Below are 25,347 nucleotides of genomic sequence, written 5' to 3'. Positions count from 1 at the left end.
GTAGGGTGGCAGATGTGGCAGAAGTGTGTGTGTATCAGCGTGGGGGCTGGTGGCAGGGCATTCTCCCTGGGCCCCTTTGCCACACCTGTCCTTACAGGTAACCCTGCCCCTCCCTAGACGGACCTGGGGCTGTGGCCCTGTCTGCCACCCAGGCAAGGACCCCTGCTGGTCACCGGCCTCTGCTCTCCCTGCCTCTCAGACCCTTGGCAGCCCCTGGGCCTGGCCCACCCCTTTCCACTGCAGAGCTCCCAGAACCTTCCAAAATTACACTCCCAGAAAGCCTGGTTAAGGGAGAGAGCTGAAGTTCTCCCTCATGAATGACTAACAGCTACGCTTCCCTTCTGTCTTATTTCACGCCACTTACCTTTCTACCCAGGCAAACTATAAGCAACGCACGCATGAAACACAGATTCTCTGAGCATCTCCAGATCCGAGCTGTTCTTTGCATGCTTCCTGCCACACACTGTGCAGTAAACAATGACGGGCCTACAACAGCGCTTTCTTACATCTCACTATGACGTTTTCACATCGCTTACAGAATACAACCGTCATTAGCGCATTTCCAGTTTGCTCTAATTTATGCCAAACATCTTTGTTTTAAGCAGCACTTCCCCATACAACGCCTTCTAGCAACTTCGTAAGTGAGCACCCTCAAGTCCCGTGAGAAGTCTGGACTCACAGGGCCAGGGAAAAGCTTCCCCACCTCAACCCAGGTCTGTAACTCCACACCCTCCACACCACCCAACGCCTCTATCTACAACTCACACACGCGCACACACACACACACAAAGCGCACACACACACAGCACACACACAAACACACGCACACACAAACGCACACACATGCATACAAACACAAACACATACACAAAGACACACGCACACGTATGCACACACAAACTGCAGAGGAAAGGCAGCACACCAAAGCACCCAGAAGACAAATGTGGTTACATCTGGAAGTCAAGCATCAACTTTTAAAAACATAAAAAGCTATTCTGAATAACTTTTAACTTCACTTCACCCCCAACTGTCTACAACTAATGAATTACAAATAGCACCTTATACAAATGACTTTTCTTACTGCTGAGAAATCCTGGAGGTCTCATCTGTCTATAAAGAGTTATGCATCCGTAACTGCCGATGTTGGCTGCTAAAGCCAGCAAATAAATGCTGTGAGAGACAGACAGGGACAAAGTGTGTTTTTAAAAATACATGACGTGTAAACCTCAGTAATCATCTCTCTTTTCGAATAAAAATTATTTTCTATAAAGCAGGTGTTCAAAACATATTATTAATCAGCAACAGTGAAATTGTTCCTCCTTGCAGCATTCCACCCATATGGACATTAAGTCACTCCTGCACAGAATCTAGAATACTGACCAGTCCGTACTCAGGTTATGGTTAACCAGAGAAAAGAATTAAAACCCGTTACATCTTGAGTCAATGAGAATTTTTACTTGCAGCCAAAGTTAGTGACTGGAATCAATATCAGACAACAGCAAGTTCGTCTACTGCTGCCTGGGAACATGACCTACTGGCCACAGTCGGGAGGGGTACTCAGACCTCACCTTCAGTGCCCAGGGGCCCATGGAAGGGGAGTGGGGCTGGGACAGGTGGGCAGGGCGTCTGTGGACCTAGGGCAGTTTCCTCAGAATCTACCTTGGCTTCTTGGGCACCAGCGGGCTGTGGGGTGCAGGGGAACAGGTGGAGTACGGGGGGGACAGCTGGGGTGCGAGGGACAGCTGGGGTGCAGGGTAAACAGGTGAGGTGTAGGGGGACAGGTGAGGTGCAGAGGACAGGTGGGGATCAGGGGGACAGGTGGGGTGCAGGACAGTTGAGGTGCAGGGGACAGGTGGGGTTCAGGGAGAGAGGTGGGGTGCGAGGACAGGTGGGGTGCGGGGGAACAGGTGGGGTACGGGGAGACAGGTGGGGTGCGGGGGGACAGGTGGGGTGCAGGTGAACAGGTGGGGTGCGGGGGACAGGTGGGGTGCGGGGGGACAGGTGGGGTGCGGGGGGACAGGTGGGGTGCGGGGGGACAGGTGGAGTGCGGGGGGACAGGTGGGGTGCGGGGGGACAGGTGGGGTGCGGGGGGACAGGTGAGGTGCAGGGGGGACAGGTGGGGTGCGGGGGGACAGGTGGAGTGCGGGGGGACAGGTGGAGTGCGGGTGAACAGGTGGGGTGTGGGGGGACAGCTGGGGTGCAGAGTAAACAGGTGGGGTGTGGGGAGGACAGGTGGGGTGCGAGGGGACAGGTGGGGTGCGGGGAACTGGTGGAGTGCAGAGTTAACATGGGGTGCTGAGGGACAGGCGGGGTACACGGGGTGCGGGGAACTGGTGGGGTGTGGGGGGACAGCTGGGGTGCAGAGTAAACAGGTGGGGTGTGGGGAAGACAGGTGGGGTGCAGGGGGAACAGGTGGGGTGCGAGGGGACAGGTGGGGTGCAGAATAAACAGGTAGGGTGCGGGGGGACAGGCGGGGTGCGGGGGAATAGGTGGGGTGTGGGGGGGACAGCTGCGGCGCGGGGGACAGCTGGGGTGCAGGGTAAACAGGTGGGGTGCGGGGGGACAGCTGGGGTGCGGGGAACTGGTGGAGTGCAGAGTGAACAGGGGGTGCTGAGGGACAGGCGGGGTACACGGGGTGCGGGGAACTGGTGGGGTAGGGGGACAGGTAGGGTGCGGGGGAAAGACGCCGGCTTTCCTTACACCGGTCCTTCTCTGCATCCTGAGGCGGACCGCATTCTTCTCCTTTACCGGAAAATCTAAGTTACTGCACGACCCCCCAGGCGAAGCCAGCTCGCCCCTCGGGCTCCTTCCGCCGATCGGAGTTCGCTCCTGCCCCTGGGGCCAGGGGTCCCTGCTGCCAGTCCCTGCTCCCCCCGCCCAGGCCCGCGCCGTTATCCTGAGGGGCCGGGGGCGCCGCGGAAGGGGGAGCTGCTCGGGGGGAGGGGGTCTCAGCCCCTTCCCTGAAACATCTGCGCAGGGGGTCGGGGGCGCAGCCACCTCCGGGTGGGACCCAGCGATTTCGGGGGAGCCGGGCAGAAGTGCAACTCTCAAAGGAAACCAGAAGCCCGCGAGGGGACCCACGGTCCGCGGGGCCCGCACTCACCTCGGCGGCCAGGACGCGACCCGCAGTCCCCTGCTGTTCCCCGCCGTCCCCCGCTGTTCCCCGCCGTCCCCCGCTGTTCCCCGCCGTCCCCCGCCGTTCCCCGCCGTCCCCCGCGTCCCCCGCGTCCCCCGCGACCCCGTCCGTCCCGGATCGCGCGCCCGCCGGCTACAGGGATGCGCCCAGCCCCTCCCGCCCGGACGGCCTGCTCCACCCACCATGCTGTCATTGGCGGGCCCAGACCGTTCCGGGCGCCCATTGGCCGCAGAGCCTGCCGGTTTCTCGGCAGCGCCCTGCCCTCGCGCCCGCGCATTCCTTCGAGGCCACGTGGCCGCCCGCGCCCCCTCCCGCTGCCCAACGCCCGGCCCAGGCTGCGCACGCGTGGGAGGGGGCGCGCGGCAGAGGCTCCCGCCCCCGGATCATCTCCTGCCCCGCGGACCCCGGGCCGCGCTCACTTCGGGAGGGGTCGCTGGGCAGACCGAGTGCCCTCCCCGCCCCCAACATCTGGATCCTCCCCGCAGAGCCTGCTCCCGGCTCAGAGCTGCGCCCCTTGGGGAGGGTGCGCCGGGCAGACCCTAACCCTCTCCCAGAGCACCGCCCTTTCTGCGGACCCCCACGGGCTGAGCTCACCTGAGGGAGGGGGCGTCGGGCAGACGCTCCCCCCCCCAGAACATCGCCCCTCCCTGCGGACACCCGGGGTGCGCCCAGCCGAGGAGGGGGCGTCGGGACCCCACCCGACCCGCCCTTGAGCCCCCGTCCCTCCGTCCGCAGCTGGCCCTGCCCACAGGGCGTTCCGGGTCTTCCGCGCCAGCTGCCCTGGACCAGCCAAGGCTTGGGCGTTTGGAAATGCGATGACTTCAGCCACGTTTCCGAGGCAGTTTTTGAAGCTTGCTTCTTGCCAGGAAGCGCTCGTTTTTCCCGGGACCTTTCCAGGGAATGGCCCCTTCTGAGTTATTGGAATTGTTTACTTTGAGCATTTATTTGTCTTATACTTTTAAAAAGGAAACAGATTATCGTTATAATTACTATTAAAGAAAAAAAAAAACGAGAAACAAAGACATTTTTAACCAAAATAACTAAAGGATGTTATCTTTTACCTGGTCAGCACATTTAACAAGTGTGTTCGCAGATGCTAGATTTATTTCTATGCCTTCTCCTACCCAAATCTCCGAATCATAGAAGTAATTTTAAGTCAGTGTTTTAGAACTGTCAGACTTCTTAGAGATTTCTAGCCCCTTTCACTTGTTTTATAGAAGAAATACAAACAGCTATTTGGGATGCTAAGTATCACGAAATTAATCTAAACATTAACTGCCCTTAAGGCTTGTGTGCTCTGGAATAAGTTATTTCCCTGAAAATTTTGGACTATGTAAAAATCATAGCCAACATAGAAAGACTACAATGGCTGGAAAAAATAATCGTAGGTAAGGTGATATTTTTTCAATGTTTATTATTCACACTTGCTAATTTTATGAAATCAGACTGAGTTGTTTTTATGAATCAATTGAAAAAGGTATTTGCTCTCAGCGACCTTAAGATTAGAAAACTTATTTCAGGTTTCTATTCCTAGGGTTCTCTGGGTACCTTATTCAGAGATCTTCTGCACAGATCAATGGTCAGATCAATGGTCTTGATCAACAGAAGTAAGAAGGTCAACTAAATTAGTTCTTGTTTACCTAAATACGATGAGAAAATCCTGATACTTGTAGTGTTTTCTAAAAAGGTAGAGATAAGAGGAAATAGTCCTGTGTATGGAATAAACAACTCATTTTCTCAATGGATGAAATTGAGCCCCTAAACTCAGGGCCGCCAGGGACACCACTGAGTAGGGCCACAGAGCAATGCCTTCCAGGCAGGTTGGGCAGAAAATCCCCTGATTTGGAGCTCCAATAGATCCTGTCTGTCTGCTTTATTCAGGCGTTCCTCACAGATACATCCCTATTTTCGTAAGCCCGGATATGGAAGAGTTGGGATTTTCCATTGTGATTCCCTCTTTGACCCATGGGATATTTAGAAAAGTTAGGTTCACCTTTCAAATATATGGGGACTTTCTGGTTTTCTTTTTATTGTAACTAAAGTTTAATTCCACCGGGCCTTAAAACATCAGCTGTTTTATTTTTGTCGTTTAAGATTTTCAAACACTTGCTTCATGGCCCAACATTGTCTATTTTGGTAAATGTTCTATGAGCACTTGCTGAGAACATGCTTTCACTGACATAAAGTTCTACAGATGTCAATTAGGTCATATTTGTTACTGATTTTTTTATCTACTTGTACTTTTTATCTACTTGTACTTTTTATCTACTTGTACTGATAAGGGTGTATGAAAATCTTTGACTCTCCGTAGTCTATTCAGCATTGTCCTGCAGCATCTAACAAGTGTTGTAGGTCATAAAAACAAAAAGTGTAAGGATTGAGGGAGGAAAAACTGATTATTTACAGTCAATATGATTATATATGTTAAAAAACAAAATTATCTACAAATAAACTATTAGGATTAAAATAGAATTTAGGAATTTCAGATGGATCATAGACTTAAGTGTAAAAATTATAAAGTTGCTAGGATAAAATATAAGAAAAGATCTTACGGATCTTCAGGTAAGACAGAAAATGGACCGACCATTTAAAAATGATTAAATGGCTTATCAAAATTTAATATTTCTACTCATCTCATGACATCATTAAGAAAATGAAAAGGCAAGCCACAGACTGGGAGAACACAGGGGCAATGCATATATCCCACAAATGGCTTGTCTTAATCCACGTTGTGCTGCTGTAACAGAATACCTGGGAATGGGTGATTTACAATGAAAAGAAATTTATTTCTCACAGTTCTGGAGGCTGGGAAGTTCAAGATCAAGGAGCCACATCTGGCAAGAACCTTCGGGCTGCATCATCCCATGACGGAAGGTGGGAGGCGGAGGTGGGGAGGGAGGATGCAAAATGGGCCAAACTTATCTTTTTTTTTTTTTTTTTTGAGACGGAGTCTTGCTCTGTCATCAGGCTGGAGTGCAGTGGTGCGATCTCTGCTCACTGCAACCTCCGACTCCCTGGTTCAAGCTATTCTGCCTCAGCCTCCCGAGTAGCTGGGATTACAGGTATGTGCCACCACACCCAGCTAATTTTTGTATTTTTAGTAGAGACGAGGTTTCACCCAAACTCATTCTTTTATAAGGAGCCCACCGCCTCAGTCATGGCATTTATCCATCCATGAGGGTCATACCCCCATGACCCAGACACCACCTAGTAGGCACCTTCCAACACTGCTGCATTGGGGGTCAAGTTTCCAACACATAAACTTTGGGGAAAACGCGTTCAAACCATAGTCCTGGTAAATAGAGAACTCCTGCAAATGAACAATAACAAGACAAGTCTATTTCAAAAGGGACAAAACAATATAACAATAACAAGCCTGTAAATAACAATAACAAGTCTATTTAAAAATAAACAAAAGACGTAAATACTTCACCAAAGATGTACTGATAGCCAACAAGAACAGGAAATAGTGCTCAGTGTTACCCAAAGTAAACTCACAATGAGATGCCACCACCGTCATCCAAGCACGGCTGAAACTGCAGACCGACATGGCAAGGGTAAAAATGTGGAGCCCCTGGAACCACTATACAAGGCGATGAGAGTGCAAATGGCGCAACCACTCTGATTAATTGTTTGCCCATTTCTCAGCAATCCCACTTTTAGGTTTGCCCAAGGCAAGTGAAAACATAAGTCCCTTAAAAGACTTTTACAGCCAGACATGGTGACTCCCACCTGTAACCCCAGCACTTTAGGAGGCCAAGGTGGAGGATTGCTTGAGCCCAGGAGTCTAGCATGATAGTCTCCACCTCCAGTCCCAGCTACTTAGGAAGCTGAAGTGGGAGGATCGCTTGAGGCTGGGAGGTCAAGGCTGTAATGAGTCATGTTCACCACCACTGCACTCTAGCCTGGGTGGACAGAGCAAGACCCTGTCTCAAAAAAAAAAAATGATTTTTACAAGAATTCTTTCTTCAAAACAGTTCAAATACTTCGCAACTGGAAACAACCCAAATTCCATCAACAGGTGAACTCATAAAGTATTGTATCTTCATAGAATAATAGAATACTAATAATACAGTAATAAAAAGGAAGAAACTGATATGTTCAATAACAATGAATCTTGAAAACATGAAAAACATAGACAAAAGGGCACATATAGTATGATTCAATTTTTATGAAATTCAAGAATGTGCCAAACCAACCTATAATAATAGGAATCAGAACAGTGGTTATTTTTGGGGGTATTGTCTCAGAAAAGACAAAGGAATTCTGGGGAGTGATGAAAACGGTGACTACATCTTGATTTGATTTGCAGACACATGGGTGTGTTCACTTTGTAAATAGAATCAAGCCGAACACAAGAGTAAGCTACTTCATGGGATATATACAGTGGCCTCAATGCATCCCCCTTGATGACTGAAAGTTCATCACCAACGTGATAGCAGTAAGAGGTGGGGCCTTGAGGAGGTTAGTGGGTCATGAGGGATGGGCTTAGTGCCCTTGTAGAAGTGCCAGGGGGCTGTTCACCCCTCCTACCAGTGAGGGCACAGTGCTCAAGGTGCTGTCTTGTGAGCAGAGACCAGGCTCTCCCCAGACACTGAACCTGTTGGCACGTTGATCTTGGACTTCCCCACGTCCAGAACTGTGAGAAATAAACTCCTGTTGTCTATAAATGACCCAGTCTCTGGTGTTTTGTTACAGTAGCAGGAACAAATTAAGTTATGTATCAGCAAAAAGGGGTTTTAAAAGCTGGGTTCCTTTAAAAAAATAATGATTCCCTTTATTGACGGAATACAAAATATCCCTTAATTAATTGCAAGCAAATTAAGTGCAAGGCCCATGCAGAGGGTAGGGATAATCTATACCCTAGTTAGGACATTCAGAAAGGAAAAAAATGGCAAAGACAGCCTGCCTGGTTCTAGGCCTCGCCTCTACTCCAGAGACGTCTCCATGCCCCACGCGGAGCGGGTGCGTGAGGTCAGCTCTAGCAGGGCCTAAAGGCCTGGGCTCTATCATCAAATAGGCCCGGGGGCTTCTGCCTCTTTTACCACTATATGGATGAACATGGGCGTCATTCAATGTCCTGGGCCTCAGTCTCCTCACTGAAAACAAGAGCAAAACCTACTTAGGCAGCATGAAGACTCAACACTTTCATGTGCAGAGACCGGTGTCAGGGCACCTGACCCCATGGACATCTCGGGGGAGCCTGAGGCACTGTCCGAAGATGGAAGCTTGTATCCACTCCTGGGCACAGTTCCTGGGTTCACATCCCAGGCACTTCCCTTACCAGCTGTGCTATCTGCATTGCTGTGCCTCAGTTTCCTGCAAAGAATTGGAAAGACATTCGCACCTACTGTGCGGGTCAGTTTTATATGTCACCTTGACCAGGTGACAGTCCCCGGTAATTCATTCAACATGGGTCCAGATGTGGCTGTGGAGGTGTTCTGTTGGTGTGCAAAAGACCCATCACAGTGGACTTTAAATGAGGAAGACTATGTTAGACAATCCGGGTGGGCCCGATTCAGCACTGGAAAGGCTTTCCAGAGAAGAAATTCCGCTGTGGGCGGTAGCTTCAGCTCTGCCCCAGGTCCAGCCTGCCCTTCCCACGGCCTGCCTGCCTGGACCTCGCTCCCAGGCCCCCATCGTGGTGCCGGATCCAGGCTCTAAATCTCTCCAGGTCTGCCTCCTACTGGCTGAACCTTGGCTGAGGCCACTTGTAGGATGGCGCCATTGAAAGGGAGATGGCATGCACACATCTCAGAACTACTCCACTCCGCAGGCGGGGAGCGAGACACTGAGCCCGGGGACGGCGAACAACCCTGGATGTGAGACCTCAGACAAGTCCCTGACCGTACTGAGCCTGCTATCTCGTGGATACAGGGTTAGTCACCAGTCCCTGGCTCTGGAGCGGCGGTGAAGATGAAGGCATCCTGGGTGCACCTGGCGCTCTGCCTGGCCCACAGCGCACGTGGGGCAGACCTCAGGCCGCAGTCACGGGGCTGCTCAGGTGCTGCGATGGGAGAAGAGCCAGGAAGTGAGTCTCCACCCAGTGCCGCTCAGTCACGGGACCCAGGTACAGCCTGGCAGAGGACAGACGGCGCTCCAGGGAGACCCTGGGGCAGCGTGGGGCTGGGGTGGGGCTGTCACACGGCAGAGGCCCTGGGCAAGTGCGGAGGCCACACGAACATGGGGTGCAGGGGGTACATGGAAATCAGAGGCCCCCTTCAGGCCTCTCAGCCTCCCAGCCTCGAGCCATGAGTTCTGTCTGGGCTCACGCAACCCCAGACGTGGCTGAAGAGGCTGGAGTGTCGACGAGCGCTGGGAAGAAGCTGCCGACCTCACTGCTCCGCGCCCTGCCTTCCCCTCCCTCCTGCCGTCCCCAGTCACCCCGAGGCATCACCCGGCCGGGCTCCCTGGGGCAACACATCCGAGAGCCCCCAGCAGGCCACACCCCTCCCAGCGCCTGTCCCCACAGGGGGCTCGGGACTTACAGGGAACAGTACAGCCTGGGGGCCATCGCAGATGCCCTCCAGGAAAGCAGGATGCTCTGCAGATAGGACGGCTGTGGCCGCTGCCCCAGGAAACAGCCCAGGACGCTGCCTGAGCTCAGAGGGTTCCGGACACAGACCGCGCTCCCCGCTTTGCAAACCACACCCAGTCCATTTCCTAGTGTGAGTTTGTCTCTACTCATCGGTTTGTGTCTTTATAAGAGTTCTAAAGTAAAACAAAAACACACAAGGACAGTGACCTAGACAGCACCCAGGGATGGGTCGGGTCGGCCTCCGAAGGGCAGCAGCTGCCATGCGGGAGGCAGGTTCCCGAGGAGCCGGGCAGGCTTCGGAGAGGCCGTGCTCGCTTTCCCGACTGTGGCGACGGATCCACCTGCTATGCGTTCCTCAGAACTCACTGAACCGCCCACGTTAATGACGCGCAGTTCGCCGTGTGCCAATGACGCCTCAATCAAGCTGCTAAACGAAGGCCGGAGCAGCCCTGCCTGTGGGGCTGTAATGTTTTCTGCAGCCTTGATGAGCCGCCCTGGGCTGTTTCAAAGGGAACGCAGCAGTCTCCTCTTGACTTCCGCAGTGGCCGTATTCCTGGGCCGTGCGGTGGGTGTGTCTGCAGGTAAACAGGGAGTATCTAGGCTCGGATGGTTACAGACGGCTTTCCCCGTGGGCGGCGTCCCGTGGGCCCTATGCAAGCTGCGCAGGCCGCCCTGGGCTCTGCCGCGAGTGCGTGGGCGGCAGGACGGTGCATCCCGGGCCTCCACCGGTCAAATGCTCCACACTGACCACCGCAGCACCCCCCCGCTCTCCCGGGCAAATTCTAAAGCTTCCCTAGCGGGGAGTTCCTGCTGGGGAACTTTCTCCATCCGCCCTCTTGGACCTCACAGGCTTCTTCCGCCTTCCCAAACGGACGCTGCACCCCGTCTCGTTAGAACGCTGCACCCCATCTCGTTAGAACGCTGCACCCCGTCTCGTTAGAACGCTGCACCCCGTCTCGTTAGAACGCTGCACCCCGTCTCGTTAGAACGCTGCACCCCATCTCGTTAGAACGCTGCACCCGTCTCGTTAGAACGCTGCACCCCGTCTCGTTAGAACGCTGCACCCCATTTCGTTAGAAAGCTGCACCCCGTCTCGTTAGAACGCTGCACCCCATCTGGTTAGAACGCTGCACCCCATCTCGTTAGAACGCTGCACCCCATCTGGTTAGAACGCTGCACCCCATCTCGTTAGAACGCTGCACCCCATCTCGTTAGAACGCTGCACCCCATCTGGTTAGAACGCTGCACCCCATCTCGTTAGAACGCTGCACCCCATCTGGTTAGAACGCTGCACCCCGTCTCGTTAGAACGCTGCACCCCGTCTCGTTAGAACGCTGCACCCCGTCTGGTTAGAACGCTGCACCCCATCTCGTTAGAACGCCGCCATGGCCTGCATGTGTGTCCGCTCCAAATCTCATGTTGAAATTGTATCCCGTGTTGGAGGTGCCTCCTGGTTGGAAGTGTCTGCGTTATGGGGGTGGGTCCCTCGTGAATAGATTAATGGAGGGGCTGTGAGTGACTTCTTGCTGTATTAGTTCTGTGAAAGCTGGATGCTAAAAAGAGCCTGGCACCTCCCCCATGCTTCCTTTCTTTTCTTTCTTTCCTTCCTTCCTCCCTCCCTCCCTCCCTCCCTCCCTCCCTCCCTCCCTTCTTTCTTTCTTTCTTTCTTTCTTTCTTTCTTTCTTTCTTTCTTTCTTTCTTTCTTTCCTTCTTTCTTTTCTTTCTCTTTCTCTCACTCTCTCCTTCCTTCCTTCCTTTCTGTTTCTTTCGACGGAGTCTTGGTGTCTTGCTCTGTCGCCCAGGCTGTAGTACAGTGGCACGATCTGAGCTCACTGCAACCTCCACCTCTGTGTTCAAGCAATTCTCCTGCCTCAACCTCCCAAGTAGCTGGGATTACAGGCATTTACCACCACACCTGGCTAATTTGTGTATGTTTAGTAGTAATGAGGTCGTGCCATGTTGCCCAGGCTCATCTCAAACTCCTGACCTCGGGTGATCCTCCTGTCTAGGCCTCCCAAAGTGCTGGGATTACAGGCATGAGCCACCGCGCCTGGCCGCCTCCTGCCACTTTCTCTCTCTGATCTCTCCGCGTGCCGGCTCCTCTTCCCCTTCCACCGTGAGTGGAAGCAGCCTGAGCCCCTCCCCAGGTGCAGGTGCTGGCGCCATGCTTCTAGTACAAAAAGGGGCCAAATAAACCTCTTTTCTTTATAAATTACCTAACCTCAGGTGTTCCTTTCTAGCAACACAAACAGGCTGAGGAACACACTGCGGACATTTCGGTGGGAGAAAACAGTGGGTAGATGTCACCAGGAAAACGGATTGCAGAAGAAGGGAAAGTGGAGGGGCAGACAGAACACACACTCGGCACACTCGGCTTCCCTACGTGAGCATGGTCCTCCTCTCATCCCAAGCTAAGAGATAGTCCAGTCCACACAGCGAGGGCTCCCAGCATAGATGCCAACACCCACATCTCACGGGGCATTCAGTGGCCTTGGGGTCTTGCCTTCCCGGCTGGAGAGCCTAGAGCGGATGGTCTGGCTGAAACAGAGGCTTGTCCCTAGCTACATAAACGAGCATTGCAGTGTGTCTCTAGGGGTTCACTCACACTAGTCTGGTCTGCTGAATTAGAAATGCACCTTGAACCAACCTGGCCATCATGGCAAGACTCGCCTCTACAAAAAAATTAATACATAAATAAAATAGCTGAGCCTGGTGGCGTGCACCTATGGTCCCAGCTACTTGGGAGGCTGGGGCTGGGGGATCACTTGGGCCCAAGAGCGTGAGGCCACAGCGAGCTATGATGGCACCACTGCCCTCCAGCCTGGGCGTCAAAGTGAGACTCTCTCAAAAACAAAACAAAACAAAAATAGAAATGCACCTTGGTAAGTAGAAGGTGGTCATTAAGGAAGGAGTGAAAAGAGGGAAATTATACGATGCCTGTGTCCGAAGAGCAGCCAGCACGGACAGCCGGCCTTCCCAAGACGGGCCCTGTAGGTGGCTTGCCTGAAACATGTCTGATTCCCATGCCCGCTCCATCCATCCCCCGTTTGATGGAGGGCAGGCCAAAGGCAAAAGAGGGGCAGAGGAGAGGAAAGGTAAAAAAGAGAAGCAGCAGAGAGGAGGCTGGAGGCACCCAGAAAAGATCCAGAGGCTTAACACTGTTCCTCTGTTTCAAAGGAGTCAGCATGAATGCGGTGGGGGAGAAGGAAGCATTGTTCCAGGAGGAAAACAGTGATGTTTTTGTTTCCAGAGCTCTTGCAACAACTAAGCCTGTTTTCTTGCTTTGCTCAAATGGGAGGGAGAAGTGAAGAGGAGCGAACTGGAAGAAGGGAATGCCACTCTCCTAATGACCCAGCTCAGGAGGTGCTAGGGGAGGATGGAGGAAGTGAATGACCCAGCTCAGGAGGTGCTAGGGGAGGATGGAGGAAGTGAATGACCCAGCTCAGGACGTGGTGAGGGAGGATGGAGGAAGTGCTTCCCTTTAAATGCTTCCCCTTTGCGGGGGCTCACCTAAGGCCCAGGGAGGGCCACGACTCTCATGTGGGGCAGGCCCCACCAGCACCTCCCTCCATCCTGCCCCCTGTCCTTCCCCTCCGTCATCTAGAGCCAGCCTCTGCCAGCACAGCTCAGAGGTCAGTGGCAGGGCTGGAAGGAGTGTCAATGCAGAAACCAGGGGCGGGAGGGAGTGGGGTGGGGGGGGGCGGGGGGGAAGGAACAGGGGTCGGGGAGGGGGGCAGGAGGTTGGGGAGTGGGGCAGGGGGTGGGGGAGTGGGGTGGGGCCCGGTGGGGGAGGAGTGGGGCCCGGGTGGGGCGGGGGAGGGGCTCTGGTGGTGACATCCAGGGCTCTCTCCTGCACTGGGGACCTGGCGTTCGGAACATGCTCTAGCCCTCAGCATATAGGAGAGCGTGGGGAGGGGTCAGTGCATAGCAGGACACGTGGCCAGGATGGGCCATGATTTGAGGGCCACAGGGGAGAGTGCCCCACACCCAAAACACGCCTGTGTAGGTGAGTCTTCCGTCCTTCTGACCCACTGGCCTGAAGTTCCCTGTTACTCCTGGTTAAAGCACTGAAAGCCTCAGTTATAACGTAAGGGTGTTTCCTGAAGTCCCGCATTTATAACGCACACAGCTGAACACCAGCAGTTGGCCAGATCCACACTAGTCATTTGAGGACCATTTAGGAAGAGCTTCGAGGACAGGTAGGTTTACAAGGGAACAAGGGCAAGGAAAGATGTAGGATGCGGGACCACATGAGGAGGGACGTGGGAAATTCATAAGGCATAATGTTACTAGATACGGGAGGAGAGTAAGAAGATGAAAAATAGTCAGAGAGGGACGGAAAATATGGTGCTGGGTCCAACTGTATCCAGAAACATGCAGGCTGAATGGGCACGCTTATCTGAAGGGAAACCAACGTGCTGTATAACAGCTCCTCAGCTCTGTTCACAGGGGACACAGTCCTCTTCCTGCTCAAGGCCACAGCAGTCCTGTGATGTGCAGAGTTTACCTGTGATTCTATTGCTAGTTCAAAACAGGCACAAAATTCACAAGCACAACAAACTCCACTGAAAATGTTCAAAACTCCTTTCAAAGACGGCCAGTCATGCTCCCCCTGCCCTAGGATCCCCTCAGAGTCCCCTGTGCCCATGCTCCAGTGTGGTCTCCCCTCCATCGCAGGACCCCTCACAGCTCCCTGTCCATCCTCCAGTGTGGGCTCCCCTCCATCCCAGGACCCCTCACAGCTCCCTGTCCATCACCCAGTGTGGGCTCCCCTCCATCCCAGGACCCCTCACAGCTCCCTGTCCATCTTCCAGTGTGGGCTCCCCTCCATCCCAGGACCCCTCACAGCTCCCTGTCCATCTTCCAGTGTGGGCTCCCCTCCATCCCAGGACCCCCTCACATCTCCCTGTCCATCCTCCAGTGTGGTCTCCCCTCCATCGCAGGACCCCTCATATCTCCCTGTCCATCACCCAGTGTGGGCTCCCCTCCATCCCAGGATCCCTCACAGCTCCCTGTCTCTCCTCCAGTGGGGGTTCCCCTCCATCCCCTAGTGGGGTCTCCCCTCCATCCCGGGATCTTCTCCCGTGTCGTCGCCCATCCTACAGTTTTTTTCTTTTTTCCTGAAAGCCGCCCTCCTCATCTTTGGTCTGGGGTCTGTCCTTGGGCTGTGGGGACACTTTGCCCATTGCTAGAGCTGGGTCTCCCATATCCATGGCTGAGGGGCTCAGGTGTGGAGAGCCTGGGGGCTGATATGAGGGGTCTCGGGCAGGTGAAGTTCGTGCTGTAGAACCCTCTGAGGGTCCAGCTGGGCCGGGACTCCCTAAAGATGCAGCCGTGTGGCCTCCTCCCCTTCCTCACCCCCTCTTCCCCCCACTGGTAGCTTCTCGGGGACTGTTCCCTAGACACAGGTCCGTGTGAATTCTGGACTCTGGGTCTGAGTCTGCAGAGCACCTGAGCGAGGACACCGTGGCTGTGTCTGCTTCTCACCCCGCTGTGTGCCCTCCATGTTCTCTGGCCTCGTGACCCTTCCCTCTGCAGAGGCCTCCCCCTGGGCCTGCGTGAACCTGGGGTGGCCCTTAGGCTGCTCTCTGTCCCCGCTGGACTTGTCCCAGCCATTCGCTGCTGCAGGGCATCCCCTTGGGCTGGGCAAGTTTTCCCACATCCGCCCCTTCTCCGCCCCTGCCATTTGCCACCCTGCCTAGGTTTCGGGGTCCGTGCTGGGATGACTCCTCTGCTTTCCCCCCCGTTTTCCCCCGTTTTCTCCTTCCAGTCGCATTCTCTGCTAGGCCGCCAGCCCGACTCTACAGAATGCACACCTGGAGCCATATGGAATCTCAGGAACCTGCAAGGCTTCCCTCCCACTACGCGGACTAAGGGCAAGGCTCTCAGAAACGTGAGTTCCTGCAGCAGCGGGTGGGCCGGCTTGTTGTTCATCTCTCCCCAGTTTGTTCTGTGGTCTGCAGAGATTGAGGGAAGCCTGAATCATATAACTCTTGGTTTCCGTCTTTCCCACGGGACCACATCAGCAGATGGCATGACATTTTAAGAAATATTTCAAATATTTCAAAAGTTTTATATAAAAATATTTATTCTCTTCAGATTTCTAGGATGTATGTGCTGCAAGTAGGAAGGCCAGTGGTTGATTAGAATGGGATCGTACGAGTCCTAATGGATACGTAACGCTCGAGCAGCCGGTACAAACGGTGGGCCCTGCACGCCTCCGCTAAGTTACCTCTCACTCCACCTGTTCCACATGGTTTTCGCTCCGCTGGGCCAATGCCTCTACCTACAGCACGTAGAGGAACATCAGACTGATTTCTGCTGAACACTCCTTTTCATCCCCCTAAGGGACAATGCGGGTACCGTGTCCTTAGTTTTTCTCAATCATCTTTCTTATTTTTCTTAATTCCCTTAAGAACTCTGATCTTGTTTCCCTCTCTTTGTTCTGTTTGTGATCCTCTGAAAATGACCCTACCCTTAATTTAATTAAAACGAGCTGTTTACCCACTAGAATGATACAGTTAAAAAGTTTGACAATACAAAGTGTTGGCAGGGCCACAGAATCACTGGAATTCTTAAATGTTGCTTATGGGAGTGTAAAGTAATACGTTTTATTTGAAAAAGAGTTTACAGTCCCTTACAAAGTAAGCACACGACCCAGAAACTCTACTCCTAGGTGTTCGCACCAAGTAATAAAATTTATGTTTTAAGAACAAGAAAGTTCTTAGCAGCTTTATTCAAAATAGCCCCACTGGTAACAACGCATCGGTAGGTAAATAGATAAACACATCGTGCTACGGTCATACAATGGAATGGTACTCAGCAGTGAAAAAGAACAACATGGAAACATCTCAAAATATGACGCCAAGTGCAAGGAGTGAGACACACGAGTTCACACCGTGCATCCTCATTTATGAAGTTCTCCAACAGGTGAAAGTAACAGTCCGAACCTTGAAGTTCCTCTGTCGACCCTGCCAGTCTCTTTCAGGTTCTGCTAAAGTCTTTCCTCTTCACTCTTCCTAATTACACTTACTTTTTTTGAGCATCGATCTTTAATAGAAATTTTTAAATGATTTCTTATTTATATTATTATGTATTACTTTTCTGTTTGGTTTAACTTTGGGTATAGAAGCCTTGTTTTGTATTACTTATCATTCCAAATGCATGGGCCTGTGGCTTTGGCAGGTTTTTTTTTTTTTTTTTTTTTTTTTTTTTTTTGAGACAGAGTTGCGCTTTCATCGCCCAGGCTGGAGTGCAATGACACAATCTCGGCTCACTGCAACCTTCGCCTCCAGGGTTCAAGCGATTCTCCTACCTCAGCCTCCTGAGTAGCTGGGATTACAGGCACCCACCACCACACCAGGCTAATTTTTTTGTATTATTAGTAGAGATGAGGTTTCACCATGTTGGCCAGGCTGGTCTCGAACTCCTGACCTTAGGTGATCCGCCCACCTCAGCCTCCCAAAGTGCTGGGATTACAGGCATGAGCCACTGTGCCTGGCCCACTTATCTTTTTTTGATCACCAATGTTTAATAGAAATTTTAAATGATTTTTTATTCAATTATATTACTCTGTAATACTTTTCCCTTTGGTTTACTTTCGGGTATAGAAACCTTATTTTATATTACTTATTCCAAATGCATGGGCCTATGGCTTTGGCAGGTTTCGTGTGAGTCAGAGCGACGCTGCCGGGGAGTTTTCCTCACTCGCGGCCTCCACTCACGGCCTCCACACGCGGCCTCCACACGCGGCCTGCAGGCAGCCGTCTGGAGTCAGGGGCTCCATGTGCAGCTGCTCCCCAGAAGGTGCCTGTGCTGTTGGCATGCTTTTCATACCGGTGCATTCCGTTCTTCTATCACAGGCATAATTAAACATTTTAACAACTTTTTTCAATTTTCACCTAATTGTCCTCAAATTTAATTCTGATAGAACTGAAATATTTAACAAACAGACCACCAGGAAGCTATTCTCAAAACCAAACAGACTCGCCCTTTGTATTTCCACAATATTGGCCACCGCTGGGTTGGACCCAGCCAAGATTTTCAAGCATTTGTAGAAAGACTCTGACTCACTCCATATTCACAATGGCGTTGTTTAAATCCCTTCTATTTCCTTCCCGAGTAAAACTTACACAAGCCTTCCATGTTACAGAACACGAACCATATTAGCAAACTATTTCGAGGGGAAATGGTATCAATTCTAAATCCTCCTAAGCATTTCCTCTTCTGAAAACAGACATGGATATCTTAGTTGAAATCATAGGAAACTTAACTCGTATTTATAAGAAGCAACATCCTGCTATATTTAGATGTGCATCTGGGGCTGGGCGCGGTGGCTCACGCCTGTAATTCCAGCACTTTGGGAGGCCAAAGCGGGCAGATTGCCTGAGCCCAGGAGTTCGAGACCAACCTGGGCAACACAGTGAGTCTACATCAGTACAAAAAAATACAAAAATTAGCCGGGCATGAAGGTGCACACCTGTAGTCCCAGCTACTCTGGAGGCTGAGGCAGGAGAATCGCCTGGACCCAGGAGTTCCAGGCTGTGGTGAGCCATAATTGCACCACTGCACTCCAGCCTGGGTGACACAGCAAGACCCTGTCTCAAAAAAAAAAAAAAAAAGTGCATCTGGCTGAAAATAAAAAGATATACAAATCTTAATTTTCACGCTTCAACTAGCTGGATAGCTGTGGATAAAGTGTTTAACTCGTAGGCCTATGAGTTGAGATACATGAGCTCAAAGTGCCCAACCAGTAGACGGCTGTGTACCAATCTAAAGTTTCATTGCAGACAAATCTTGCTATTTGGTTTCTTTGCCATTCGTTCCATAAAGCACCACATAATTGACTCAACCAAGCGCATAATGCCAGTATCTCACCTGAGATCATGTTAGCATATCATGAAAGTTCCTGACCTATTGCACATGTGCAGAATCACCCATGTAGCACACACACAGATAGGAAGAATAATAGGATGTATACCCTGTACCTATCACTCAGTTTCACAGACTATTAACAGGATACTTCCATCCCTTCCTCCATCCCCAGTGGTACCTGGAGTATCCTAAATTGGGGTTTGATCATCCCTTGCTTTAGTTTATTGCTCTAATACCCACGTCTCAACCCAGCCTGTGTCTGCTTGTCTTTCTCGTATATGTTTAGATTTGCATGTTTTTTTGTTTGTTTGTTTGTTTTTGAGGCAGGGTCTCACTCTGTTGCCCAGGCTGGAGTGCAGTGTGGTATTACAGCTCACTGCAGCCTTGACTTCCCTCAGCTCAGGTGATCCTCCCACCTCAGCCTTCCGAGTAGCTGGGACTACAGGTGTGCACCACCATGCCCAGCTAATTTCTATAGATGGGGTTTCGCTGTGTTGCCCAGGTTGGTCTTGAACTCCCGTACTGAAGCAATCTGCCCACCTCAGCCTCCCAAAGTGCTGGGACTATAGGCCCACCACACCACGCCTGGTGGCTTTGCACGTTCTTGGTATCTTATACAACTGGTATCATACTACATGTGTTTTTCTGAGGCTTTCTTTGTCGTTCCCAATACGTTCCTTCTTTTTCACTCCTCTACAGTAATTAAGTCATGAATATACCACGCCGATGGACATGTCTGTCACTTCTGGTTTAGGGCTATTATAAGCAATACTGATGTGAACATTCACATATATGTTTATCATGTGCTTATGCGTTCCATAGGGTGTGTGTCTGAGAGTGGATTTGCTGGTACTAGGTCTCCACATCTTCAGTTTCCCCAGATGACACCAATTGTTTTCCAAATAGTTGAAACTGTTTAAACTTCTACCGACTGGGCTGAGTATTATGAGTTAAATTTTGCTTATCTGATATGAGTGTAAATACCCTTTATCAGATTAAGGGAGTTCCCTTCCATTTCTAATATGTTAGGAGGTTTTATTATTAATGGGGTTTGATTTTTATCAAAGGCCTTTTCTGCAGTTATTGAATAAACATATAATTTTTTTTTTTTTTTACTTTAGGTAGTAATGTGGAGATTCAAGGTAAAAGATTTTTGAAAGAATTGCTGTATTTGATTGGCTAACTTTGGAAGTCTTTTTTTCCATCTCTGTTCATGAATGAGAGTTTTGCCATTTCCCTGTCTCATACTGTTCTCACCAAGCTGAAACTGACCTCATCAAATATTTGAATTTTTGCTACTCTCTGGAAGAGTCTGTTTAAATTTTAAACTCTCTCTTCCTGAAATTTTTGATAGAAGTAGCTCATAAAAGCACCTGGAACTTTCATTTTCTTGCTGGAAGAATTTTATTCACTCAATTTTTAAGAAGAGTTATTGAGGTTTCTTCAGCCAGTACTGGGGACTTCTATATTTGCAGGAATGTGTGCATTGATTCTAAGATTTCAAATGTGTTGCCATGGAGCTGCTTATGAGCTTGTCATATTATTGTTTTACTTTCTGCTGCCCGTATAGATATGGATTCCTTTACATGCCTGTATTAGTTTTCTATTTCTTCCTTAACAAATTACCACAAACTTCGGTTTTTTTGTTTGTTTGAGACAGGGTCTTCCTCTGCCATCCAGGCTGGACATGGCTCACTGCAGCCTCAACCTGCTGGGCTCAAGCAATCGTCCCACCTCAGCCTTCCAAGCTGCTGGGACCACAGGTGTGCTCCACCACATCTGGCTAATTTATTTTATTTTTAGTAGAGATGAGGTCTCACTATGTTGCCCAAGCTGGTCTTGAACTCCTGGGCTCAAGAGATTCTTCCACCTTGGCCTCCCAAGTAGCTAGGACTAGGCACACACCACCATGCCTGGTTAATTTTTTATTTTTATTGTTGTAGAGACAAAGTCTCACTATGTTGCCAGGGCTGGCCTCAAACTCCTGGGCTCGAGAGATCCTCCAGCCTCGGCCTTCCAAAGTACTGGGATTCAGATGTGAGCCAGTGCACCCGGCCACAAACTTAGTCTTAAAAACAACACAAATTGACTGTCTGTGGTTGTGTATCTGCAGGTCACAATCTAGCAGGGCTCTCTCGGAGCTGAAATGGCAGTGGCAGGGCTGCATTCCCATCTGGAGGCTCCAGGGAGAAGACTTGCCTTGCACTTTACACTCTCCTGGGCTTGCAGCCCCTTCCCCACCTCCAAAGCAGCAATGCTGGGCTGAGTCCATATGCTGTCGCCCACCCCTGAACACTTCTGCCTCCTCTTCTACTTTCAAAAACACTTGGGAATACACTGGACTCACCCACACGATCCAGGACAATCTCCCCCTTCAGATCCTCTCCTTACATCTGCAAAGCCCCCTTCACCTGGGAAGGCCACACTCACCTACTTCTGCGGGGTCCTGCGTGGACACTCTGAAGTCACGTCTCAGATTGTTGGTCTGCACCTCCATGCTTTTTCTCTGTCTCTTTTTCCCTTTGATCATTTTGCTAGAGGTTTCCAATTTTTCTGTCTTTTCAAAATCCATTCTGTCATTTGTACCCATGGAATTACTATCTCCTGCTTTATTAATTCTGGCCTTATTTTTATTTTCTCCCTTCAATATACTTTTGGTTTGTTCTACTATTCAATTTCTAAAGTTGTAGACCCAATAATTTTTAGCCATTCTTTTTTTTCTGTATTTTTTAGTTGACAAAATTATATATTCATTAAAATCTCCTTTTTGCGTATATGTGTGTGTATATATATATATATATATATATATTTTTTTTTTTTTTTTTTTTTTTTTTTTTTTTTTTTGAAATGGAGTTTTGCTCTTGTTGCCCAGGCTAGAGTGCAGTGGTGCGATCTCAGTTCACTGAACCTCTGCCTCCTGATTTCAAGCGATTCTCCTGCCTCAGCCTCCCAAGTAGCTGGGATTACAGGCGCCCACCACCATGCCTAGCTAATTTTTGTAATTTTAGTAGAGATGGGGTTTCACCATGTTGGCCAGGCTGGTCTCGAACTCCTGAACTCAGGTGATCCACCTGCCTCGGCCTCCCAAAGTGCTGGGATTACAGGTGTGAGCCACCGCATCCAGCCCCTTTTTACATATACTTTTAATTTTTGTATATACATTTTTATGACTATATATAGTATGTACAGCATATATATTTTGTGTGGAGAGAGAGAATTTCTAGTTTTTAAAGGTTCAGAAAATCCATTGATACAAATATTACTGAAAATATTTAGGGGATAGGACATGAGGTAGCCTCCACTTCAAAACCTTCCTTGTACAGGTGAGTGAGAGACCTGGAGTTACAGGATTATCTGGGGGCAGGGTGGGGAGGGGATGATGTTGAAATGAAAACCAAAACTCCCGAGTGTTCCTATACCAAATTAGCAGCTTCATGTGAAAATCAGCCCCAAGGAAAACCCAGGAGACAGCTGGGTCCACAGCCCTGGAGAAGCAGGAGCAGCAGCTGGGTCCACAGGCGAGGAGAGGCAGATCCTGGAGAAGCAGGCTCACTTCTCCCGCCCAGTGGTGGCCATGCCATGTCCCTCCTTCCACGTCTCCCAGCCGCACCTAAAACTAGTACAGATGGGAATAAAACCCACCTCTGGAGTGTGTGTAAGTTATGCAAGGTGTGAATCAAACATAGGAAACGCTGCTAGTGCATGGCCTTGGGCAGACACACAGGAGAACCAACAGGAAGGAAATTTACCAAGATATTAACACATGGTCTGTTTCCCTCTTTATTGTAATTTGTATTTCCAAAACTAATACTTATTACATTTATATACTGATTAAAACAATGAGTGGATTTCTTTAATAGATAAGAAGTATCAATATGTACAAGTCCATTTTATTCATGGCTGAATTAGCAAGAAATATATAAGAACCAGTTAGCCATATTTTGACACACCATGTCTTTTTAAATTAGCACTAACAGTAACCTATCAGCATAACCCAAAGAAACATTTACCCTTTGTAAAATGACATCTTCCTCTTGTCAAGTGTTTAAAATGAATATAAATGGGCCTGCTGTCCCCAGTTTTTCTGAGCAAGTGATTTGCAAAAGCTTAAGGCCTGAAACCTTGAAGCCTGTACCAAACTGTCCAAACAAGGCAGTGTTGATGAAGATGGACACCCTTGCTATTTTCTCATTAGTCCAGAATAAGTAGGATGTAGTTACAGAAAAATCACACCAGGCGCCATGGCTCACACCTGTCATCCCAGCACTTTGGGAGGCCAAGGCAGGCAGACCATGAGGTCAAGAGATCGAGACCAGCCTGACCAACATGGTGAAACCCCGTCTCTACTAAAAATACAAAAATTAGCTGGGCCTGGTGGCGTGTGCCTGTAGTCCCAGCTTCTTGGGAGGCTAAGGCAGGAGAATCACTTGAACCCGGGAGGCAGAGGTTGCAGTGAGCCAAGATCATGCCACTGCACTCCAGCCTGGTGACAGAGCGAGACTCTGTCTAAAAAAGATAAATAAATAAAATAAAAAAGTCATGCCAGAAAGCAGGAACACTTTGCAAAGGAAGTTATTGACAAACAGTAAAAATTCTAAAAATCACTATAGTAAATGAGTGAAGGTTAGCTGCTGCAAAGGGGAAAATGTACATAGACCATAAATTAAGCTACACATCGTAGAAAAATAAATAATCACTCCAAAAGATCCCACCTCCACAGGGAGGCTTGAAAAGATGCTATTACACCACAGCCCACAGATGAAAGTGTGAACTCAAAAGTATCTGAGACAGGTCTCCATCCATTTAGAAAGTTTATTTTGCCGTGTGGGTTCACTTTCACACTGCTATAAAGAAATAGCCGAGACTGGGTAGTTTACAAAGGAAAATGGTTGAACTGACTCACAGTTCCATATGGCAGGGGAGGCCTCAGGAAACTTAAAATCATGGCGGAAGGCAAGAGGGAAGCAGGCACCTTCTTCACAAGGCAGCAGGACAGCGAGTGTGAGAGAGCCTGGGGCAACTGCCCTTTATAAAACCATCAGATCGCTGGGCGAAGTGGCTCACGCCTGTAACCCCTGCACTTTGGGAGGCCGAGGAGGGTGGATCACCTGAGGTCAGGTGTTCGAGACCAGCCTGGCCAACATGGTGAAAACCCATCTCTACTAAAAATACAAAAATTAACCAGGTGTGGTGGCAGGCACCTGTAATCCCAGCTACTCGGGAGGCTGAGGCAGGAGAATCGCTTGAACCCGGGAGGTGGAGGTTGCAGTGAGCCAAGATCACGCCACTGCACTCCAGCCTTGGCAACAAAACTCTGTCGCAAAAAAAAAAAAAAAAAAATCAGATCTCGTGAGAGTTATTCACTATCGCGAGAACAGCATGGGGAGAACCGCCCCCATGATCCAGTCACCTCCGGCCAGCTGTGTCCCTGGGGACTGCAATTCAAGATGAGATTTGGGTGGGGACACAAGGCTAACCATATTACTTGCCAAGGTTAAGGATGAGCCCGTGACACAGCCTCAGGAGGTCCTGACCACATGTGCCCAGGGTGGTCGGGGCACAGCTTGGTTTTATACATTTTAGGGAGACGTGAGACATCAATCAGTAGGTGTAAGATGCACATTGGTTTGGTCTGGAAAGATGGGACAACTCAAAGTGGGGGCTTCCAGGTCACAGGCAGATAAGAGACAAACAGTTGCATTCTTTTGAGTCTGGGATTAGCCCTTCTTTCACCAAATACACAATTTACATGTGAAAGGGGGGTAGAGGAACAGTCACTCTTGCCTTAGTCTGGCTTAGTGAATCTGCATTTTTTTCTTATTTTTTAGAGACAGGGCCTGGCTACATGGCCCAGGATGGTCTCAAACTCCTGGACTCAAGCAATCCTCCTGCCTCAGTTTCCTAAAGTGCTGGTCTTACAGGTGTGAACAACTATGCCCAGCCTGCATCTGCAGTTTTAAGTAAAATGGGAGGCGGGATTCCCTGATGCAGTTCCCAGCTTGATTCTTCCCTTTGGCTTAGTGACTTGGGGTCTCGAGATTTATCTTCCTTTCACAAGAGCCTGTGGTTCCACCGTAAGGACTGGAGTGGCCGATGCAGGGGGAGGAGTTTTGGGTGTGGCCACAGAGGCAGCTCCCAGCAAAGGCTGGCCACTGCATCCCCCTTCCTCACTCTGACTCCAGTCTTTCTGGCCATGAAACTTGACCTCTGTCATTTCAGGGGTTTCTTGTGGCCCCTCCACCCAGGCTAGCCCAGCTGAGCCCTCGAGGCTCCTCCTGCACCCTAGGCCTTGTTCCTATCACTTCCAGAGCCTGTCTGGTCAGTCCGAAGGTCTCTGTGTTAATGTTAATGCCATCGGCTGTTCCTGACCCCAAAGGGAGAGGATACAATGAGGCGTATCAGACCCTCCCCTTCCCGTCCGGCCTGACTTGTTTTTCAGGTTTGTTTGGAATCCTCTTGGCCAAGAGTAGGGGTCCATTCAGTTGGATGGGGGGCTTTTGGTTTTCGGAATTTTATTTTTGGTTTAAAACGGATGCTCACATGGGAGCCTGGGCCCAGAGCGGCCCAGGAAAGCACGTTCCAATGCTCCCTGCAGTGATCTAATGCGCTCAGAAGGTGGGAATGACTGTTCTAGTTCCCAGAGCCCCTTTTGCAGGGGACAGATGCTGGTGTAGAGTCCATGGTGCATTCAAGTCATGTTTCCTGCCCATTCCATCCGAGTGCAGTAGCCTCAGTATCTCATGCTACTAAAGTGATTGTCCAATCACTGTCACCGCCTGAAGGCTGGCTACAAAATTAA

At 50.3% G+C, this 25,347-nt stretch overlaps 1 protein-coding gene, 1 long non-coding RNA gene and 1 other non-coding gene across 16 annotated transcripts in view, besides 5 other annotated features; 1 reads left to right on the top strand and 2 right to left on the bottom strand.

The window, feature by feature from the left end:
- Window positions 1-3,888, bottom strand: part of ARHGEF10 (Rho guanine nucleotide exchange factor 10) — a 135,313-nt gene extending 131,425 nt beyond the window's left edge. For 6 of the 14 annotated variants that reach the window (NM_001438091.1, NM_001308152.2, NM_001438094.1 and 3 more), the window contains exon 1: window positions 3,104-3,291. Coding sequence is in view for 1 of the 14 variants with exons in the window: in XM_017014003.2 (XP_016869492.1) it covers window positions 1,082-1,106 (25 nt within the window). In the remaining 13 variants the exon portion in view is untranslated. Of the gene's footprint in view, window positions 1-1,081; window positions 1,171-3,103; window positions 3,292-3,730 lie in introns of those variants that run through there. The other 8 variants (XM_047422450.1, XM_047422454.1, XM_047422456.1 and 5 more) reach the window with 6 other exon arrangements.
- MIR596 (microRNA 596) lies at window positions 9,910-9,986 on the bottom strand. Its single transcript, NR_030326.1, has one exon. It is a non-coding gene; the product is annotated as a microRNA 596 (primary transcript).
- Window positions 10,019-10,686: an enhancer, noted in NCBI's record as "H3K27ac-H3K4me1 hESC enhancer chr8:1764697-1765364 (GRCh37/hg19 assembly coordinates)". NCBI's record gives its function as "activates a minimal SCP1, AML or CMV promoter by ChIP-STARR-seq in primed H9 embryonic stem cells {active_cell/tissue: H9 hESC(primed)}" and the evidence as "EXISTENCE:reporter gene assay evidence [ECO:0000049][PMID:30033119]".
- Window positions 10,687-11,355: an enhancer, noted in NCBI's record as "H3K4me1 hESC enhancer chr8:1764028-1764696 (GRCh37/hg19 assembly coordinates)". NCBI's record gives its function as "activates a minimal SCP1, AML or CMV promoter by ChIP-STARR-seq in primed H9 embryonic stem cells {active_cell/tissue: H9 hESC(primed)}" and the evidence as "EXISTENCE:reporter gene assay evidence [ECO:0000049][PMID:30033119]".
- Window positions 12,035-12,534: an enhancer, noted in NCBI's record as "H3K4me1 hESC enhancer chr8:1762849-1763348 (GRCh37/hg19 assembly coordinates)". NCBI's record gives its function as "activates a minimal SCP1, AML or CMV promoter by ChIP-STARR-seq in naive H9 embryonic stem cells {active_cell/tissue: H9 hESC(naive)}" and the evidence as "EXISTENCE:reporter gene assay evidence [ECO:0000049][PMID:30033119]".
- Window positions 12,535-13,036: an enhancer, noted in NCBI's record as "H3K4me1 hESC enhancer chr8:1762347-1762848 (GRCh37/hg19 assembly coordinates)". NCBI's record gives its function as "activates a minimal SCP1, AML or CMV promoter by ChIP-STARR-seq in naive H9 embryonic stem cells {active_cell/tissue: H9 hESC(naive)}" and the evidence as "EXISTENCE:reporter gene assay evidence [ECO:0000049][PMID:30033119]".
- On the top strand, window positions 13,009-16,390 carry LOC105377779 (uncharacterized). Its single transcript, XR_941353.3, has 3 exons — window positions 13,009-13,306; window positions 15,445-15,567; window positions 15,774-16,390. It is a non-coding gene; the product is annotated as an uncharacterized LOC105377779 (long non-coding RNA).
- Window positions 24,146-24,806: an enhancer, noted in NCBI's record as "NANOG-H3K27ac-H3K4me1 hESC enhancer chr8:1750577-1751237 (GRCh37/hg19 assembly coordinates)". NCBI's record gives its function as "activates a minimal SCP1, AML or CMV promoter by ChIP-STARR-seq in naive H9 embryonic stem cells {active_cell/tissue: H9 hESC(naive)}" and the evidence as "EXISTENCE:reporter gene assay evidence [ECO:0000049][PMID:30033119]".

The sequence above is a fragment of the Homo sapiens genome, chromosome 8 (assembly GCF_000001405.40).
Source record: "Homo sapiens chromosome 8, GRCh38.p14 Primary Assembly".
In the NCBI taxonomy this organism is placed as follows: domain Eukaryota; kingdom Metazoa; phylum Chordata; class Mammalia; order Primates; family Hominidae; genus Homo; species Homo sapiens.
This window is presented reverse-complemented; position numbering and strand designations above follow the sequence as displayed.